Raw genomic sequence first — 21,063 nt, forward strand, 5'->3', positions numbered from 1 at the left:
CGAGGCTGAGGCAGGAGAATCGCTTGAACCCGGGAGGCAGAGTTTGCAGTGAGCCAAGATCACGCCATTGCACTCCAGCCTGGGCAACAAGAGCAAAACTCCATCTCAAAAAAAAAAAAAAAAATGTAAGTCGTTTTTCTTTGTGCCATCTGAGTCCATCTTGTGTTTCTTCAGTGGCTTACACAGTACCCTTGAGTACTCTCTACTAAAAACCCTTGAGGAAGGGCTCTAAGTTCCTCCAAAGCCAGGAAGGGCAAAGATGAATGTGGCTATTCCCTGACTTCTAGCACCAATCTTGGCCTGTCAGGCAAGAGAGAAAGGAGGGAGCAGATTACAGAGTGCACCCCTTCTCTACCCCATACCCAGGCAGAGCACACTCTTGCATTCTCTGCCCCGGTACCCTCCTGCCTGCTGGGCTGCAGCAGGTAGCCCCCGCTCCCCTCACTGAACTGGCAGTGAAGGAAAGTGGCACCCACCCAGGCAATGGGTTCACTGCAACAGGGAAAGGGTGCCCCACAGGTAAGCCAAGCTGCTGCCTCTGCAGCTCCCCCATGCCCAGGTAGAGAGGCCCCGAAACCTACAAGGAGGGCATTCCTAAGGCAGAAACCCTGGAGAGAAAGGATTAGCAAAACATTGCCTGGGAGTCCAGAACTGAAGTATATGTCTCCAAGTTCCAAGTTGAGGGTGGGAGTGAGGGATGATGCCAAACTTTGGAATAATAATGGCCCTTTTACCCATGGTGGCTAACATGATCATGTTCTACAACACACTTTAAAAAATACTATTGGGGGCCGGGCGCAGTGGTTCACGTCTGTTATCCCAGCACTTTGGGAGGCCAAAGAGGGCAGATCACTTGAGACCAGGAGTTCAAGACCAGCATGGCAAACATGGTGAAACCCCATCTCTACTAAAAACACAAAATTAGCTGGGTGTGATGGCGCATACCTCTAATCCCAGCTATTCAGGAGGCTGAGGCAGGAGAATCACTCGAACCCCAGAGGTGGAGGTTGCAGTGAGCAGAGATCACGCCACTGCACTCCAGCCTGGGCAACAGAGTGAGACTCCATCTCAAATAAATAAATAAATAAAAATACTATTGAGAACTCTCTGAGTGCCAATCACTGTGCTGGGCCTGTGCAGATCCTTCATCTTCTTTTATCTTCACCACAATCTGAGATGTGGGTATTATTTTTCCTTGCTCTACAGACACAGAAATAAAGCAATTGTCCAAGATCTCAAAGATGGAAAGAGGCCAAGTTAGGATGAAAACCCAGATCTTCTAAACATACACCGCCCCAATAGTCTTCCCAGGAACACTGTACAGCCTTCATGTAGTATGTATATGTACATGTTTCCTGTATAACAAAGAGACCAGAAGCTTCCCTGGTGCTGGGGGCTATGGGGAGAGCCCAAGGGAGAGGACACCCGCTCCCACTCTGCTGCAACACACAGCACTCTGCTCAGGGATGGGGCAGTGGCGTGTTATTGTTACACAAGGGGCTCTCTGTCAGGGAGGGAAGATAAGTCTGTTCTGTAGTGTTTGCCATTTTCCGTGGTGCAAATATTCCATGGCTGATTTCAAGCTGCCACCATGATGTCACTGAATGCAGAGCTGGGAAGAGATGCACACAATCAGGTCTCCTGAGTTTGCTCAAGCAGGCCCAGCACACCATGGGCCAGGGGTGAAGAAAGGGAGACTGTCCCAGGCTGGGAGTCAGGAACACACATCCAGGAACAAACTGCTGGTGCCTGAGAGAGGAAGGGGATTGGACAAAGCTTCCAACTCTGGGGGACCCTGAGAGGGGAAGAGGGAAGTGTTCAGACAAGAACTTGAGTTGAGAGTCCAGACACACCCATCCAGGGCTTAGTACCCAGCCACTGCAACCCTGACCCAATCAGGTTCAGCCAGTTGGGTGCCCTGCTGCTAGCAACAGCTCCTGATTTGGCAAATATTATGAGGCCTGTTACTAAGGACAGCCTCCCAATACCCCAGAGGGTGAAGAGCAACTTCCAGGGGAAAGTTGCCAAGATTCTTACACCCTGAGGATGTTCAGTCGAAGCTGCAGCAGGAACTCCCGGACTGGGAGACAGGGTGGGGGATTACATGGACCAGCTCCCTCCCACTCAACCATCTCGCCAGCATCTCTCCCATGGCCATCTGAGTGCTGTGCCCTGGGTGTTGGAAGTAAGGTTCTGCCCGTCTTCAAGGAACTTCCATCTGAGAGGAGATCTGTATTTTCAAAACTGCAAGCTACAACCCACTAGTGGATTGTGAAATCAATTGCATGAGTCTTTACCAGCACATGAGTGTGCATCACAGGTAGTAAGGGTAATATTGCACCATGAAATTTTGTTTGGGGTGTGTGTGTGTGTGCGCGCATGCAGAACTGTAATATAAAATGAATTTATTATTAGAGATCACTGTTCAAAAAAAGTTTCAGAAATTCCCTGACAGAGGAAGTGGTACCCACACCCAAACACACACAAACCCAAGAAAATAAGACCAGAAACAGGAGCAGCGTTAGGTGTCAGGACTTGGGGATAGAACATAGAGGTTTAGTCTGGGAAACTTTTCCAAAGGAGAGAAGTAATGAAAAGCAGAGTTAGAAAAGGGAAACAAGAAACTGAGGCATCTCTCCCAATCTATCCTGGAAGGGAGAGGAAATTCTCTTAATATCTAATCTAATCCCTAAACCCGCTGATGTGCTCTTCCCTGAAGCCCACCTACTCCTCAAAAGGAAAACCCACAGGTCCCTCCTCCAGGTAACCACCTTTTCTGGGTCATGACAGTGACACAGCTGGTCGGGGCTAGGGAGGGTGGAGTGAGCTGGGCTCGGGGGCACAAACAGCGGCATGCTGGGCACAGCCAGGCAGGAGGGCCCAGCGCTGCAGGTGCTGGGGCAACACAGAACAATACCAGATTCATGCCTGCCCTTGGGAAACGTAGACTCTAGTTAAGAAGACCAAAGTAGGCTGGGCATGGTGGCTCACGCCTGTAATACCAGCACTTTGGGAGGCCAAGGTGAACCGATCACGAGGTCAGGAGTTCGAGACCAGCCTGACCAACATGGCGAAAGCCCATCTCTACTAAAAATACAAAAATTAGCCAGGTGTGGTGGCACATGCCTGTAGTCCCAGCTACTTGGGAGGCTGAGGCAGGAGAATTGCTTGAACTCGGGAGGCGGAGGTTGCGTGAGCCAAGATTGCGCCATTGCACTCCAGCCTGGGTGACAGAGCAAGACTCTGTCTCAAAAAAAAAAAAAAGACCAAAGTAACACACACCTAGAGCAAGCCAACAGCAAAAGCATCCCACAGGGGCGTAACACTTGCCAGTGCAGAATGGCAGAGCAGTGAGATCTTGCAGATCATCTCGTCCAACACGCTGTCTCACTGCACAAGAAACTGAAGCCCAGAGAGGAAAAGCAACAGGCCAAGGACACATAAAAAGGATGGGACTAGAGCCCACTAGGCCAGGACTCATTTCATCTTGCAATATGGACAGCCTGGAACAAACCCTGAGACTAGGATGGAGACACAGGGAGGGGGACCTCAACACCCCACTTCAGACAAGCTCATTCATACTATTATCCACCCATCGACATTGACTGGGCACTTCTCAGTGCCAAGCACTGTGCCGGGTGCTTCAGATGGCAACGAATAATCCCGTCTAGGGGAGAGTGGAGTGCACCTGTTGCCCTCCAGGAAAGAACACGGGCTCTGTGACCTCCCTGACCTGCTGCAGCCTCCTTTACCATCAGGAAGCTCTCAGGTCTAACCTCACTCCTTTCTGCTGCAACATCAGCCCAGTTTCCCTTGGCCCCAGAGGCACTGCTTGCTGGCCTGACCTGACAGGTGGGGAGGGTGCTTGTATGGCCCAGGGCCCTCTCCCAGCTCCTGAGTCAGCCTGATCCATTGTTCCAATGACTCTGCCTGCTAAGGTGGCTTGAAAGCCCAGCGAGCCCTGCCAGCTGAAGCTTGTGGGTGAAGAAGGGGCAGAGAGAGGGAGAACTGAGGAAGGCTGATGTTGGGTGGGGAAGCAGAGGGGGTAGAACAGGCAGGTCTCACCCACTGCCTGGCTTCTTAAAGTCAAAGTTTATAGGGTTTTTTTGTTGTTGTTTGGTTGGTTTTTTATTGTTTTGTTTTGTTTTGTTTTTCTGTTGTTTGTTTGTCTGTTTTGAGATGGAGTTTTCGCTCTTGTTGCCCAGGCTGGAGTATTGACACGATCTTGGCTCACCGCAACCTCTGTCTCCCGGGTTCAAGCAATTCTCCTGCCTCAGCCTCTGGAGTAGCTGGGATTACAGGCATGTGCCACCACGCCCGGCTAATTTTGTATTTTTAGTAGAGATGGGGTTTCTCCATGTTGGTCAGGCTGGTCTTCAACTCCCAACCTCAGGTGATCCGCCCACCTCAGCCTCCCAAACTGCTGGGATTACAGGCATGAGCCACCACTCCCGGCAGAAAGTTTGTAGTTTTAAAGATGTAGAGGGGGGCTTGGCACAGCGGTTCACACCTGTAATCCCAGCACTTTGGGAGGCCGAGGTGGGTGGATCACCTGAGATCATGAGTTCAAGACCAGCCTAACCAATATGGTGAAACCCCGTCTCTACTAAAAATACCAAAAAGTTAGCCAGGCGTGGTGGTGCAGGCCCCTATTCCCAGCTACTCAGGAGGCTGAGGCAGGAGAATTTCTTGAACCCAAGAGGCAGTTTGCAGTGAGCCGAAATCGCACCATTGCACTCCAGTCTGGGTAACAGAGTGAGACTCCAACTCAAAAAAAAAAAAAAAAAGATGTAGAGGGAGAAGATCCTAAGCCTTGTGGTGCTTCCTTCTCTTTATATAAATAATATTCAGAATTAAAAATGTTAAATCAACAGACAATAAAATAAAATCAGAAAAAAGAAAACTCTTCTAAAATACTGTCACCTAGAAGTAGCCACTATTTACATTTTAGTATTTAACCTTCCAGGTGTTTCTATATACAAATATCTTTCAATTTATTCAGTCAGCGCATATTTATTGGACACTTACTATGTGCCAGGCACTATTCTAACAACGGAGATATAGCAGTAAACAAAACAGATCATTGCTGAGTGCAGTGGCTCATGCCTGTAATCCCAGCACTTTGGGAGGGCAAGGCAGGAGGATGGCTTGAGTCCAAGAGTTTGAGGCCAGCCTAAGCAACATAGTGAGACTCTGTCTCTACAAAAAATCAAAAATTAGCTGGGCATGGTGGCACACACCTATAGTCCCAGTTACTTGGAAGACTGAGGTGGGAGGATCACTTGAGCCCGGGAGGTTAAGGCTGCATTGAGCTATGATTGCACCAATGCACTCCAGCCTGGACAGCAGAGTGAGACCCTGCCTCTAAAAAAAACATAAATAAGTAGAAGGGCCGGGCGCAGTGGCTCACGCCTGTAATCCCAGCACTTTGGGAGGCCGAGGTGGGCGGATCACGAGGTCAGGAGTCGAGACCATCCTGGCTAGCACAGTGAAACCCCGTCTCTACTAAAAATGCAGAAAATTAGCCAGATATGGTGGCACATGCCTGTAGTCCCAGCTACTCAGGAGGCTGAGGCAAGAGAATCGCTTGAACCCAGGAGGCAGAAGTTGCAGTGAGCCGAGATCACGCCATTGCACTCCGGCCTGGGCAACAGAGCGAGACTCCATCTCAAAAAAAAAAAAAAAAGTAGAAGGAATACATTCTAAGATAATGATAAAAAGTAGAGTAAATATACAAGCCAGTAACATAGTCCTTTACTACCATGATCAAGTAATAATATGTACTGTATGTAATTTCATGTGCTATATATTGATACAATTGGCAGCACAGTAGGTTTTTTACACCAGCATCTTCACAAACACGTGAGTAATGCCTTTTGATACATTATGATGGCTACGATGTCAATAGGCAAGAGGAATTTTTCAGTTCCATTATAATGTATGGAACCATTGTCATATATGCACCATACATACAACAGAGACCTTGTTATGCAATGTGTGACCATACTCATGTGTCTCATATAGCAGTATATTCTACTGCAATAGATGCATCATCTATTCATATTAATACGTATTTCCAGGCCCAGTGTGGTGGCTCACTCCTGTAATCCCAGCACTTTGGGAGGCCGAGGCAGGTGGATCACTTGAGGTCAGGAGTTCGAGGCCAGCCTGGCCAACATGGTGAAACCCTGTCTCTACTAAAAATACAAAAATTAGCCAGACATGGTGACGGGTGCCTATAATCTCAGCTACTGGGGAAGCTGAAGCAGGAGAATCATTTGAACCAGGGAGGCAGAGGTTGCAGTGAGCTGAGATCATGCCATTGCACTCCAGCCTGGGTGACAGAGTGAGTCTCCATCTCAAAAAAAAAAAAAAAAAAAGCCAGGCACAGTGGCTCACACCTGTAATCCCAACACTTTAGGAGGCTGGGATAGGTGGATCACAATACGAGGTCAGGAGTTCGAGACCAGCCTGACCAACATGGTGAAACCCTACTAAAATATAAAAATATAGTTTTTATATCTACTAAAAATATAAAATTAGCCAGTCATGGTGGCGCACGCCTGTAATCCCAGCTACTCAGGAGGCTGAGGCAGGAGAATTGCTTGAATCCAGGAGGCAGAGGTTGCGGTAAGCCAAGATTGTGCCACTGCATTCCAGCCTGGGCAACAGAGTGAGACTCTGTCTCAAAAAAAAAAAAAAAAAAAAAAAAAAAAAAAAAAAAAATATATATATATATATATATATATATATATTTCCCATAAGTGGGATCATATTACACATATGAATTTAAGCAGGCTTTCCCCCCATATCTGTCAATAAACACATCCTTAGATTACTGTGAAAGGCTCAGAATATTCTCTTGCAAGATTCTCAGGGGTTTTCACAAGTCCACTGCCTGATATCTTCCCCAGAGGAGATCTGAGCCTTGGTCTAGAAACCTCATCTGATCACAGACACACACACGCACAGGCACACGATCACGCATACACACACTGGAGTCCATAGGAGCCAGAGATGGTGGTTCACCAGGCAGCCCAGTTTAATCCAGTCCTGCTCTCAGACACCTGTCCAGGATTTTCCAGGGCCCAGACCCATTCCCGGTATTTCCTTGCAAGCAGGAGCAGGAGCAGGAGCCAGTTTCTCCCACTCTTGACTCCCCCTGCAGGTGGCCAGGATTCTTGCAACCCAGATGCCTGGGAGCTGGGCTGGACGCCTGGAATGGAAGCAAGGGGCAGTTCATGATCTTCCTGGAAGCCTCTTCTGTGCCACCACCTCCCTGGTGCCTGATGTGGGGATAAGGCCAGAGGCCCCCAAATGGGGACTCAGAGCGCTGGTGATTCCCAGGCCTTTTTCTAGACCTTGAGAAGTCCAAGTAGGCCCTGGGCCAACCTGGGAAAATTCACAGTGCATAGACTCTCTCGGAAGCTCTCTTGGGATCCTGGAGACGCCTTGGGCAGAACACAAAATGAGGCTGAGGATCAGGGAGAGAGGGGCCCTAGGGGCTGATGGTCAAGATCAGATCAGGGGTCTGACACTATGGGTTCAGACACTGTCTTCACTACGGCCTAGCCATGCGGCCTCAAGCTAGCGACTTAACCTCTCTGTGCCTTCCTCCATTTTCCAGCTATCATAAGGGGATAATCGGCCAGGCATGGTGGCTCATGCCTGTAATCCCAGCACTTTGGGATGCTGAGGCGGGTGAATTACCTGAGGTCAGGAGTTCGAGACCAGCCTGGCCAACATGGCAAAACCCCATCTCTACTACAAATACAAAAATTAGCCAGGCGTGGTGGCAGGCACCTGTAACCCCAGCTATTCAGGAGACTGAGGCACAAGAATCACTTGAACCTGGGAGGCTCGGGTTGCAGTGAGCCAAGATCGCCCCACTGCACTCCAACCTGGGTGACAGAGCAAGACTCAGTCTAAAAGAAAAACAAAAAATCCGGGCGTGGTGGCTCATGCCTGTAATCCCAGCACTTTGGAAAGCTGAGGCGGGTGGATCACCTGAGGTCAGAAGTTCGAGACCAGCCTGACCAACATGGAGAAACCCCATCTCTACTAAAAATACAAAATTAGCCAGGCATGGTGGTACATGCCTGTAATCCCAGCTACTCCGGAGGCTGAGACAGGAGAATCACTTGAACCCGGGAAGCAGAGATTGCGGTGAGCTGAGATCACGCCATTGCACTCCAGCCTGGGCGACAAGAGCGAAACTCTGTCTCAAAAATAAATAAATAAATAAGGAGGGATAATCATTCCTATATCCTAGGGCTGTTGTGTGTGTTAACCAAGATGACACGTGCAGAGTGCTCAGAACAGTGCTTAGCACAGCAGTGCCCACCAACTATTCGATTTTTTTTTTTTTTTTTTTTTGAGACAGAGTCTCGCTCTGTCACCCAGGCTGGAGTGCAGTGGTGCTATCTCGGCTCACTGCAAGCTCCGCCTCCCAGGTTCATGCCATTCTCCTGCCTCAGCCTCCAGAGTAGCTGGGACTACGGGCGCCCGCCACCAGGCCCAGCTAATTTTTTGTATTTGTAGTAGAGACAGGGTTTCACCGTGTTAGCCAGGATGGTCTCGATCTCCTGACCTCGTGATCTGTCTGCCTTGGCCTCCCAAAGTGCTGGGATTACAGGCATGATCCACCGCGCCCGGCCTCGATTTTATTATTATTATCATTATTATCATTACTATCTTCTGAGCCCCACTCCCCACCAGGCTTGGCCTACTAGATGCTGACTTGCCTGGATCTCCTCTTGCTCTCACTGTCATCTGAGGACAACCATCCCTTCTGGCTCCCTGAGATGAGAGGGGAAGAGACAGAGAGAAAGAAAGAAAATGTGTAGGGACAAGGGTATACAGGGAGCTTGTAAGATGTGTGTAAATAAATGGGGGGGGAGCATGAGTGCGAAGGTGCAGAGATCATCTATGATCATGCAGGGGCATGTGCGGGCCAGTAAAATCACAGGGGCTATGAAAGTGACACAGTTATGTGTGAGTGCGCCAGGCATCGGTGTATGTGGAAGGGTGGGGTGGGAATGTGTACCTTCTGGGATGGGTATAGTGGATGCTTGCATGCATCAGTGTGCAAGGGTATGTGTGAGAAAGACAGAAGCTAGGCATGTGTGTATGGGGGTGTGTTATAAATGTGCAGGTGCGGGTGTGTGAAGGTTGTGTGTGAATGTTCACCTTCCCCACCTCCACCCCAAACACATATCTCTTGGTAAGGGGGCTTCAACAGAGACAAAAGTACCCCAGGCTGAGAGAACAGTGTTCCTGACTCTGGAACAAACGATATTTTTCTCTTTCAAAGCTTTCAGATTTCCTGAAGAAGAGCTGCTAGCTCAACCAAGCTCAGCCTTAAACCCGCCCCTCTGATCGAAACTAAGGAAGGAAACCAGCACCAGCCACCCCCGCCCTGCACCCCCACCCCTGCCAGGGAATGCTCTATGCCAGCAGAACGCACGCCACGCCCCCCATTTCTCCCTCCCCGCTTGGGCCCACGTGCTCTCCCCAGCCACTCAGGGTGCCCAGGGCAGCTCCCAACCACCAACAGAAGTTTAAGCCCCTCTCCAGGCTTTGGGAGCACTTTGCTACCTGCCCAGGCAGGCACTACCCTAGGGCAAGCAGGCCACTCCCTGCCAGGGGGAACTGAGAGGTGGGGGGTAGGGGGTGGCAGCTTCAGAACACACAACCAACCCCCTTCCCGGGAGGCAGGCACTCCACCCCACCCCGCATCTCTTCAAGAAGACAAAATCAGGAAAGAGGGCTGGGTGGGGAGGGCATCTCAGGAGGAAAGGGTCACTTAGAGGCAGGGTTTGAATGTCAAGAATGTCCCTTCCTTTCATTCAAGGGTCCCAAAGAAGACCATTCTTCCAGGAAGTTGTCTCAGTTGTCAGTAGTATTATATGTATCAAGAATAATTAGGCCAGGTGCAGTGGCTTACGCCAGTAATCCCAGCACTTTGGGAGACCAGGGCAGGTGAATCTACTTGAGCCCAGGCATTCAAGACCAGCCTGGGCAACAAAGTGAGACCCCCACGTCTCTACAAAAAAAAAAAAAAAAGGAAATTTGCTGGATGTAGTGACTCATGCCTATAGTCCTAGCTACTTGGAAGGCTGAGGCAGGAGGATCACTTGAACCCAAGTGTTTGAGGCTGCAGTAAGCCATGATCGCACCACTGCACTGCACTCAGCCTGGGAGACTGAGGGAGACCCTGTCTCAAAAAAAAAAAAAAAAAAAAAAGAAGTAGAATTATCACTTAATGTTCAACTACTACATGCCAGGTGCTTTACATAGCATACCTCTGATTAATCGCATATTATAGATGGGGAAACTGAGGCTTGGTTGTCCTAGATCACACAACCAATAGTGGCAGAGTGAGAATCTGAACCCAGGACTATCTGTAAAGCATTTCTCAGGTCTATGCCTGCATCTGTCTGTTCTCCAGCTGGAATAGCCACCCCTCCACCAGAGGGGATGGAGGAATCCAAAGAGAGAATGCACTCAGGCCAGATGGGGCAACTAGCAGAGCCATGGGCTGGGCAGCTGGTGAAGGCTCCAGTGAAGGGGAGTGTAAGGGGCCTCGGGAAGAAAGGGAGAGAGATTGTTAAGTGAAAGAAGGGATGAGGAGGGGGGCCAGGCCTCTGTGCCACCTGATTGAGAGGGCAGGCGCATGGTTGCATGCAGTGTGGGAGGGAATAGGGTGCAGAGATGGTGGAAAGGAGGCCTGTGGCTGAGCCCAAGTGCCTACTTCCCTGTGCTGTCACTGCCCCAGGGAGGCCTGGGCCATTTGCCTCAAAGCCAGTGGTGGGCCAGGGGCCTCAGACCCCAAGGAGTGTACATGCTGGGAGCTTCCTGAGCAACCAAGAGCCTCCAAACTCTGGAACGTGCCAGGGTTTCATTCCTGGAGCCACCTCATTCCCAGCCACAGAGAGGAGTGCTCAAGCCCCAAGGGTCTCCAGGGAAGAGAAACTCAGTGGGACTCCAGAGTGACCAGCCAAGAAGGTTCCCAGAGGGGGAACAGAGAAGAGGGGCACCTGGCTGGAGATTCAGGAGACAGGAGATGGGCAGGGAGCAGGGAAGGTGCGGAAAGCAGCAGAGACAGCAGGGGAGGGGAAATGAAGAATGTGCGAGGAGGAAACTGGAATGAAAGTGCCAGCTGGGGCTGGAGCACATCACTTTGAGGAGGAGACAGAGCAAACCTCACCTAAGGCCACCACCCCCAGCCCCATCCCAGCTTCCCCAGGCCCTGCTAAGTGCCAGGAAGAAGCAGTGTCAAATGCAAGGAGGAGCAGGGCGTCAGTTCCCCACAGCCCCTTCCAGGTCTCTGGAGCTCTATTCCGGAAAGGAGAGGGGAAAAGTGTCACTTGAAGCCCCCAGGCCTCATGAAGGCCTTTTGCAAGAGGGAGGCACAGAACTACATCAAACCCCCTTTAAAAGTTTCTTGGCAAGCCTGACCCACCACAGGGTAATAGGCTGGTGCTGCCACAAAGGGGACTGAAGTTAGGTGACTACAGCCATCTCTGAAAGGACAAAGTCAATATACAGAAGGACTAGGTCCAGGGACCCTGGTCAGGCAGGGATAGGTGGCCCCATGGAAGCTGGGAAATAGTCAAAATGTCTTCTCTAGATCCCCCTCCCACATTTGACCCTCTGCCCCAGTCTTTTTGTGCCAAACCACAGCCCAGAGTCCCCATTCTCTGGGACCTCTCAGAGGAACTCTGCTCTCTAGGTGGTGGGGGTGGGGCCCCCGTTACATTATTTTCAGACTCACTAAACACCTATTAATTTGTAGGGGGCAGGAAGACTGGGAAACACTAATCCAACCCCATGGGAGCCATACAGAAACCATATGAAAAAATGAGGATAATGGTCCCTGCCATGGGTTATAGTGACAATTGAGGTTTCCAAGTACTTAGCACATGCCTGGCGCAGTTGGTTACTTGTGGGGAGGGGCAGAGAAACGGACCCTAACGCACACAGACAGGTAGAGAAGAGGCAGACAATTGCAGGGCTGCTGGAGACAGTGCCTGGGCCCAGACACCCTCTGGCACTGGCCAGGCTCATTTGCATGTCATTTGCATGTGCTCTGACACTTGTCACTCCTGTCGCTTCAGAGCCTCTGGGTCACACATTGTCTCTGTCCCTTCCTCATGTCACTTCCTGGATTCCCAAGGGCTGAGGGGACCCCACAGAGAGAAGAGAACCCCGAGTCTGGGGGTCAAGGAGCCTGAGGGAGGACCCGGAGTCTGAAAAGGGTGGGTGCTTTGGCCGCCTGGAAGCCTGGCTTAGGGCGACCCCTGCAGGGCAATCCTAGAATGGAGGGAGGAGGCGGAGAGGTGAGCTCGGGCTCCCCCCAGCTCCCAGGGCGGCACCAGCCTGGCCCTTTTACCTCCAACACGCCCTATGCTCCCTGGCACCCTGGAGTCTGAAGGCAGTCCACCGACCTGGGCCAGATAGAATCCAGAAACTCACAGCTGCCCCAATTAGCTAAAACAAAGGGGGTCAATGTGGGTTGTACCAAGCATCAAAGCAGGAATATCTGGGGGCTCCAGGCCATCAGCAACACCATCCAGATACCACTGGACCTGCACCAGTGCCTACCCTGGGTGCCACAGCCCCATCCTGCCACCCAGCACTGGAAGGGATTGTGATTTTAACTGGGGAAGAATTTAGGGAACAGAGAGGATTGTGAGGGACTGGAGAGAACCTCACATAGCCTGTACTGAAGGTGGACCCACCAAGGTTTCTCCAGCTGGGGTCCCATCCACAGAGGACAACATCGGTGGGAATAGACTGCAGCTGGCGGGATTGAGGTCAGGCCAGGGAGGGAATCCCCACCATAGTGGCGTTACTTGGGGCCCACTGGGAGACACCTAGTTCCCTTCCCACCCAGAGGCAGTTCTGCCTGTCCAGTTCAGCCGGGAGGGAAACAGCAGAGGAAATGCAGCGACTGCAACATTTGACTAAGGGGAAAAAAAATGTCAAAAATGCTCTGAGCCTGCAGTTTGCTTGTTGACATACACAGATGCTCACACTTTTGCCATTGGGTTCCCTCCACCCACCGCCCCTGCCTTGGCTCAGCGTGTGAATGGGGGCAGAAGGGAGGGCAGGGCAGAAGGGTGTGTGTGTGAACAAGTGAAGTCATTCTCTCTGGGTGGCTCCTTTTAATTAGCACCCTGAAAAAACTCCCAGCCAGCAAAATTGAGTCTTGCCAACTGGGAGCCCCATCATTCTGACTCATCCAGGCCCTGGGGGCGAGAGTAGGGGCACGAAATCTGAGAGTCAGGAAGGGGGTTGTTGAAAGCCTGGGCATTTGAGAAGGCTTCTCAGTCTTCTGGAGGACCCTCAGGAAGGACGTGGTCACATCTGAGAGTCAGTTGGCCCCTGGGAAGCTTGGACTGAGTTGGTTCAGAGCAAGAGAATGGAGGTTGGCAAGGCATCAGAGAAATCACCGCTTTCCCCAGCTCCCCCGAGGAGACCAGCCCCTGAGCTTGGCCAGGGTCAGCCCTGGAGGTCATACTACAGGACATTACATCAGGTCCAGGCCTGGGTGAAGCATTTGGGCCATTTCAGTTGTACTCAACATTCTAAGCAAAGAGTCACCTGATATCTTATGGCCAACCCCCAGAATCTAGTCCCCGGAACTGGAAGCAGCAAGTTTACTCTATGAAGGGGACAGAGCAAGCCTCAGGCACCTTCCCTCAAGACCCCTCGCCCCACAGTCCAGAGGACTGTCCATGCCCCTCCTCTCCCTCAAAACTTTTCTGCAGGCAACTGCCTGATAAACCTCCCAGAATCTGTGCCAGCCTCCTGGCCTGGTGTGTTCAGTTGCTCCACTGTTGCCTGGATCTGACACTCTCTTCCCCTATCAGGCTGGGAGTCCCAGAGGCCAGGGCCCAAGCATCTCCTTGCTCTGGTCTTCAACAAAAGCCCTTAGGACCATATAGTCCACGGGAGGGGCACAAACCTGCTCCCTGTGAAAATGGGCAGTGGGGGAGGTGGTGGGAGCCCTGAGACTCAGGGCTTCTCTGGATGGGGAGACAGGAGCCCCAGGTTCAATCCCACTGCTGCTGCTACAGAATCACTGTGTGACCTCAGATGTGAAATTTTCTACCTCGAATGTAGACCCAGTAGCCTTGGGGGTCCCTTGCAGTCTCTGATACTAGGATTAGCTAGTAACCGAGGGTTCATTGTCGGGGGAAACACCAGGGCAATGGGAAAACACTACTTGGAAGACCAGGCTGGTATGGCCGTGATTGAACAGGAAAGGATTCTTACTGCCAGGGTCAGGAGCAGGGATGCCTTCTAGCTCTCCCTGGCTCTAGAGCACCATTTCCAAATGCCCCCAGCTCCAGGAAGGAGTTCAGGCAAGAGCTGGGGAGCTGCACAAGGCAAAGTAGAGCAGAGCTGCCTAAAACTGTCCAGGGCCCAGAGGGCCATTCCCAGGGGCTGGCGGTCCCCCTCGGGCTACTTCCCAGGCCAAGCAGCCAAATCCCCAAAACCGGAATCCACCAACCCAGAGGACCACCGCCCCTGCTGACCGCCAAACCGTCCCTGGAGAACCAGACCATTGTGCCCTCCCACCAACCACAACCACCCTGGGGGCCCCCACCCTGGAGCTCATGCTGTTGGGAGAGGGTAGGGCCTGATTTCAGGTGACAGTGGAGAAAGGATGGGGTGACTGCTCTTGGGGACAGAGAGTGGCGTGTTGGAAGAATGAAGGCGTCCTGTCCCTGGGGCTGAGTGGGAACCTGAGCAGGGCAGGCACCGCCCGACGCGGAGGCCTCCACCCCCAACCCAGCTGGGCTGCCTGCTCCCATCACACCCTGGGCAGTAAAACTTGCTTTTATGGTTGTTGCGGGGGTTGTTTTCCTTGGTGGTGGGGGCAGGGGGTTCTGTTTGTGTCTTTGTATCTTTGTGCAAATACACCTGTGTTGATATGTGCCTGCTCCTATACATGTATTGATGTCTGAGGTTTTGTGTGTGTGTAAATCTGCATGTGTCCATGCCTCTGTGTGTGGATATATCTGTGGGGGAGATCATCATAGCTACCATTTATTATTTCAATGTACTCTCCAGGTGTTGTTTCCTTTAATCCTCGGACAATCCTTTAAGGAAGATATTCTAGCTATCCCCATTTTACAGATAGGGCCATAAGGTTGGAGAGATCCGATAATTGACCCAAAGTCAGATCACCAGTAAGAGGCAGAACCAGGAGACTTCCCTCTACTGCTGAATGTGTCTCTCTGTGTGCCCGAAAATAAAGAGCTATATATGAGAATCGTGTAACATCTGTCTGTGTGTGTGTCTGCACCGTCTAAACCTGTGCATGTGTGTGGGGTGTGTGTGTGTGTTTTGTGGCCCAGGTGCAAGTCAGGTGCACCTGCCAGCAGCTGGCATCACCAAGGTCTTAGGGACAGTGGCCCTCTGAGCATATTTTCTGACTGTATTGTCCCTAGAACAATTTCTGAAGCAGATGACAGCGTGTGGTGTTGCTGACTGTGGACAGAGAACTTCTGCCGTCAAGACCGTAGCAGGAAATGCCCCTGTGCCCCTGAGCCTGGCAAACAAGGCAGCCTGTCTCCTTCAAGGAGGAGCTGAGTGCCCCGCAGAGACATTCCGGGAAGAGCTCAGAGGGGGGTAAGAAGGAAGAAGAGCGAGGCTGCCTCCCACCCCCCGCAGAGCCACCCGTGCCCCTAATCCACAGGTGGGAGTGGCGGGGAGTGGCCCCTCGAAGAGGAGCTGAGACGTCTCCGCTCGGTTCCCCTGAGAGCCCTGTGCTCCGTCACCGACAGCCTCTCTCCAGAAGTAGAGACCATGGAGTCTGGCTGGGTGCCGCGTCAGGGGTCTCTCGGGGCGGCTAGAGGCCCTGGGAACCTGGAAGCCCGCGGGGCGCGGCGGGGCGGGGCAGAGCGCTAGAGCCGGGTGGCGGCCGCCGATTGGCTGGGCCCGAGCGCTCCCACGGCGGCCGGGGGCCCCAGGGCGGCGCCGGCCGCGCCCGCTCCGCGGTGACTCATCCAGCACCCCACCTCTGGAGCTGGACGGGCGCCCGGCCTCTTCCCACCCCAGACCCGCCCGCTAAGCCGGGAGAGCCTGACTCAGCAGGGGGAGCCTGGCCTGCCTTCCGCCCCCTTCGCGTCCTCCCCCGGGGCAGAGGAGAGTGTTGTGGGGAGAATGCGTTTCTGTCCCTGTGGGAGAATTTGTCCCGCTCTAGGGAGGAGAATCTGGTATCTGTTCTTCTGGGAGACTGTGTGTCTGTCCATGGGCGGTGGGGCCTTCTGTCCCCACAACGGGAGGTTGTGTGCCTGTCTTTCTGGGGGTGTCTCTGTGTCTTAAGATCTTTATGAGTGTGGCCGATGGACTGTGGTCTTTTGGAATCTGCCTGTTGGTCTCTTTGGAGCATCACTGACCTCCACCACTCCAGATCATCTCTGTGCCCCCCTACACCCCACTTCCCCAGAAGTGGGGAAGAGCTTAGCAGCTCTGTGCCTCTGTCTCACAGCGGCCAGGACAGGCCCCTCAGGGGTTAGCTCTGAGTAATTCTCCAGCTCTGGCTCTGCCCCCTCCACAGTGCCAGGGCCCCTGAAGGTCTGGGGCCAGATGCTACCCTGCAGGCCAGGCTCAATCCCTACAGCAGTGCCTGAAATATCTCAAAGTGATTTTAAAGCAAGATCTCAAAAGTGATCTTAAACCAAGTGATCCCTCAAAAAGGGAAAAGGACCCACAATTGTCCAGAGACTACTGTGGGCCATGTGTGCCATGCTAGGAGCTTCGTGTTCACCTTATCGATGCTTCTCACAGCAACTCCAAAAACAAACATAATCCCCATTTTACCGGGGAGAAACTGAGGCCTACGTGGTGGCTCAAGGTCACACTGGCACAGTATATGAGCAAATCTGGATTTGAACCCAGGACTCTCTGGCTCTAAAGTGTATGCTCTTTCCACGGCTGTGGCTGTTCCCTGAGCGCCTTAGCCAGGAGTGGCCTCCACCTGGCCCCACAGCAAACCTGGGGGAAACTCCACCACCTCCACAGGGAGACCAGCCTTCAACTTCATCCAGGCTTTCCCATACCAAGAGAGGATCCCCCAGGACTGTGAGAGGGACTGGGGTGGGAAGGAGAAAGAAGCCAAGAGTCAGTACATGTGGGGTTTGGAGTAGGCAACAGGATATGCCAGATCCCGGGGCTGGGGAAGAGGACCCTGCAGCTCGACCCACGCACACTTTGTAGGACACACACACACACTCACATACACATGCACAATGGCTGCTGGACACAGTGCACAGATCCAGCTGTGGGGGTCATTGCAAAGATGCCCAGACACACACACGTGCATGTTTCATGTGGTGCACACCTGATATATAGAGCTGTTACCAACAGACATGAAGGAATCAGTGGAGTCATTACACACAGATTCACAATGGTGTGCAGGTCATTACTCACACACACACACACACACACACACACACACACACACACACAGTCAGAACCACCAAAAAGAGGATGATGAGGGAGTGAGAAGAACGTTTGAAGCTGTTGTAGGAACAAACCAGCTCAGGGGCCTGACCAAACCCACTCAAGCCCCGACCCAGAAAACCTAGACCTCTTCCTCTGCTCCCCACAGGCACTCACAATGGACAGCCCACCAGTGCCCCTCTGCCCTCTGGGCCTAAGACCCGGACTACTGATGTACACACAGAGGAACAGGCATGCACACACACATGCCTTTGAGAAAACACCTATGTGAACACAAACTCACAACAGATGTGTTCCCCAAACATAATATGCAAAAGCCACATAGGCCTTTCCAACAAGCATGTACACACAACAGTCACTCGGGCGCACAACCATCCCACAAACATATATCCATGCAAGACTCTCACACAAGCACATCCAGTGCCAGTCACACAAACACACAACCACCCATGCACTCACACAGACCCATGGATCCATGTACACAACGTAGGAAGGAGGAATACAAATGCACACACAAATCAAATGCACACGCAAATCAAATGCACACATGAGTTAAATGCACTCACGATGGGGATATGTGTGCACAGACCATGAGCATGACACACCTTCCTCCCACAGCACGCACCACTGCCCCTCAACCTTCCATCTTGGCACAAACAAGGCCTGGGCTTGCTCCATCAGCTCCATCTCCTCCATGCCTGAGACAGGCCCTGCCCAACCTGCCCCAGCCTGCTTGAGTGGGGCCCCGCCTGCTCCCAGCACCAGCTGCCAACCCAGCTCAGCACAGGGCAAGCTGCCCACTGCTCGGGCACGTCGCTGCCCCACCCCCTCCTCCTTAGGCCTGCCATCTCAGCATCTGGGCCTCAGCCTAGGCCGCACCTAGCCCATTTCTGCAGGTGAGTGGGTAGGCAGGGTGCTTGATCCCCACAGCTGGAGGTGAGGAAAGGGACCAGGCAGTTAAGACCCCACGAGGAAGGGGCAGCCTGGCTCAGAGCCTCTCACCTCCAACCCTGTGCCTTCTTTTTCATTTTTATTTTATTTATTATTTACCTATTCTGAGACAGGGTCTCACTCTGTTGACCAGGCTGAAGTGCAGTTGTGCGATAGCTGCCTGCAGCCCTGAACTCCTGAGCTGCAGCAATCCTCCTGCCTTAGCCTCTCAAGTAAGCTAGGACTATAGGCACATGCCATCATGCCCGACTAATTTTTTAATTTTTAATTTTTCACAGAGACAGGGTCTCACTGTGTTGCCCAGGCTGATCTCAAACTCCTGGCCTCAAGCAATTCTCCCATCTCTCAAAGTATTGGGATCATAGGCATGAGCCATCGCACCCAGCCCTTCTCCTTTTTAGGTGGACCCCTCCTCACCAACATTGGGTCCCCACAGGTAACTTCCTGGTTGCAGTCAGCAAACACATCTAGAACTACAGTTCCACTGTAAACAAGGTATTCTGTCCACACTGCCCCTAACCAACAAACACATCTACACACACACACAGACACACACACACACACACACAGGCTTTCAAGCACACACACCACCACTGGAACAGATACCTAACCAGCACTCCCTGTCACAGGCCCACAGCACACAGCCCTGCACGTGCAACTCAATCATATATACTCCCAGCACACCACACGGTGTCCCAAACCCCCATCTCACACATAGTTTCATGCATAGTCCCCATAAAATATGCACAGCTGGACACAGCGTCTCTATGCATGTCTCAACACACAGACTTGCACAGTGTCAGGAGGCTCTTGTCATTGTCCCAAACACAGTCATGCCAGCTCTGCACTGGGATAGCTGGCTCTGGGGGACAGGTCTTTGCACACTGCCCACCCATTGGCTTTGCAGTTCCAGGACATCGGAGTAGCCTTCGTTTTATCCCTGCTGCCCCTACCCAAGAGCCATGATAAGCCTGGCTGGGGCAAGGAGCTGCAAAATGTCACTGCCAAAGCCATGCCCTCTCACAGACCAGCCCCTCAGGCATGGGGAAGAAAGCAGAAATAAGCCAATGGCTGGTAAGAGCTCAAAACCGTAGAAGCCCTATGGCACCTGAGGTGGACCTGGGAAGAGGACACATAAACCCTTGAGCCTGCTGGCCCAGGAGGGAGCTGTGCAAGGGCCGGGCAGACCCAGGAGGGAGCTGTTCAAGGGCCCGGCAGACCCAGGTGCTGGAGTAGTAGGGGCAATGACGGTGGCAGGAAAGTCATCAGAGATAGGGCCTGAGGTTAAAAAGCAGTAACACCCCTAGAGCAACTCAGGGCAGGCCAGGCCCTTGGAGGGCGCCAGACTCTCCTCCCTGTGCCCTTCCCCCTCCGCCTTTCAGCTTAGGAGTCAGGCAGCAGGTGTTCAAAATGCTCCCACTAGCCTGGGCGACGTGGTCAGAACTTGTCTGTACAAAAAATAAATAAAAATTAGCCAGGCAGGGTGGCACACATCTGTGGTCCCAGCTACTCAGGAGGCTGAAGTGGGAGGATCACTTGAGCTTGGGAAGTTGAAGCTGCAGCTGCAGTGAGCCTTGGTCACACCACTGCACTCCAGCCTGGACAACAGAACGAGACCCTGTCTGGAAAAAAAAAAAAATGCAGCTCTCACTGGGACTTCTGGGGGCTGACTCTGCTCTGCTTCCTGACATGAGTGCTGGTAGCATGATCTGTTCAGTTTGTGAAACTTCATCACACTGTAGACTTATGACTTGAGTACTTCTCTCTATGTATGTTACACTTCCATGAAAATTGTTTTTGTTTTAAATAAATCTCCCCGTGTGTATGAAGCTCCACATCTTTCTGGGTTGGTGTGCACATGTCTGTCTGTGCCTGTCTGTACCTGTCTGCGCCTATGCACATACAATCTCCCATAGGAATTATTCCTTGTCTCTGGTGCCTGAGGCCCTCCATATGTGCACCTGACAGTACACACACGCGCACACGCATGCACACACCCACAGCCCCCTGCCTGCGTGTCTTCCCTCCATGATGGCAAGGCTGCCGCTGCAGAGGGTGGGGAGGGAATGTAGTAAGGCCTTTCTTTCATTTAACAGCAGATATTTACAACCATCTGCTCTGTGCCAGGCACGGGGATACAGAAGCATTCCAGTCAGACTGGGCCCTGGCCAAGCTCACCGTCTGCTGGGGAGGCTGTGGTGTGGTGAGAAGGGCCCTGTGGGGTAGCACAGGGTAGGGGGAGCCCAGCCTCGGAGGGGCAGGGACGGCTTCCAGAGGAGGAAATCCTAACTAAATTGGGAAGATGAAAGGCTCACAAGTGGATGGGTCAGCCATAGGAGGTGCATTGCAGACAGGGGGACAGCAGGCACAGGGGCTAAGGGTGTGAGGGGGTGCGACTTCCTCAGGGAACCCCCAGGGGATTCAGCTGCCTGAGTGGAAGGCCACGGCAGAGGTGACTTCAGCGGGGTCAGGCGGGCCTGGAGTGCCAAGCTCAGGGGCTTGTGTGTCTCCAAGGAAGGGTTTGGGCCAGGCTGGGACATGATTGGGATCAACTGGAAGGAGTGCTGTGGAGGAAGGCGCACTGAACTGAGAGTGAGGACACGGAAGTTCTCACCCTGGCTCTGCCCGATG

The 21,063-nt window shown here is 52.5% G+C and overlaps 5 annotated features.

Annotated features, from left to right (window-relative positions):
* Positions 11,681-12,181: an enhancer, noted in NCBI's record as "H3K4me1 hESC enhancer chr12:53263818-53264318 (GRCh37/hg19 assembly coordinates)". NCBI's record gives its function as "activates a minimal SCP1, AML or CMV promoter by ChIP-STARR-seq in primed H9 embryonic stem cells {active_cell/tissue: H9 hESC(primed)}" and the evidence as "EXISTENCE:reporter gene assay evidence [ECO:0000049][PMID:30033119]".
* Positions 11,996-12,075: a silencer, noted in NCBI's record as "silent region_4484". NCBI's record gives its function as "represses an Ori minimal core promoter by ATAC-STARR-seq in GM12878 lymphoblastoid cells {active_cell/tissue: GM12878}" and the evidence as "EXISTENCE:reporter gene assay evidence [ECO:0000049][PMID:35858748]".
* Positions 12,182-12,682: an enhancer, noted in NCBI's record as "H3K4me1 hESC enhancer chr12:53264319-53264819 (GRCh37/hg19 assembly coordinates)". NCBI's record gives its function as "activates a minimal SCP1, AML or CMV promoter by ChIP-STARR-seq in naive and primed H9 embryonic stem cells {active_cell/tissue: H9 hESC(naive and primed)}" and the evidence as "EXISTENCE:reporter gene assay evidence [ECO:0000049][PMID:30033119]".
* Positions 12,186-12,235: an enhancer, noted in NCBI's record as "active region_6399". NCBI's record gives its function as "activates an Ori minimal core promoter by ATAC-STARR-seq in GM12878 lymphoblastoid cells {active_cell/tissue: GM12878}" and the evidence as "EXISTENCE:reporter gene assay evidence [ECO:0000049][PMID:35858748]".
* Positions 15,871-16,100: a silencer, noted in NCBI's record as "silent region_4485". NCBI's record gives its function as "represses an Ori minimal core promoter by ATAC-STARR-seq in GM12878 lymphoblastoid cells {active_cell/tissue: GM12878}" and the evidence as "EXISTENCE:reporter gene assay evidence [ECO:0000049][PMID:35858748]".

The sequence above is a fragment of the Homo sapiens genome, chromosome 12, assembly GCF_000001405.40.
Source record: "Homo sapiens chromosome 12, GRCh38.p14 Primary Assembly".
NCBI classification, from domain to species: Eukaryota; Metazoa; Chordata; class Mammalia; order Primates; family Hominidae; genus Homo; species Homo sapiens.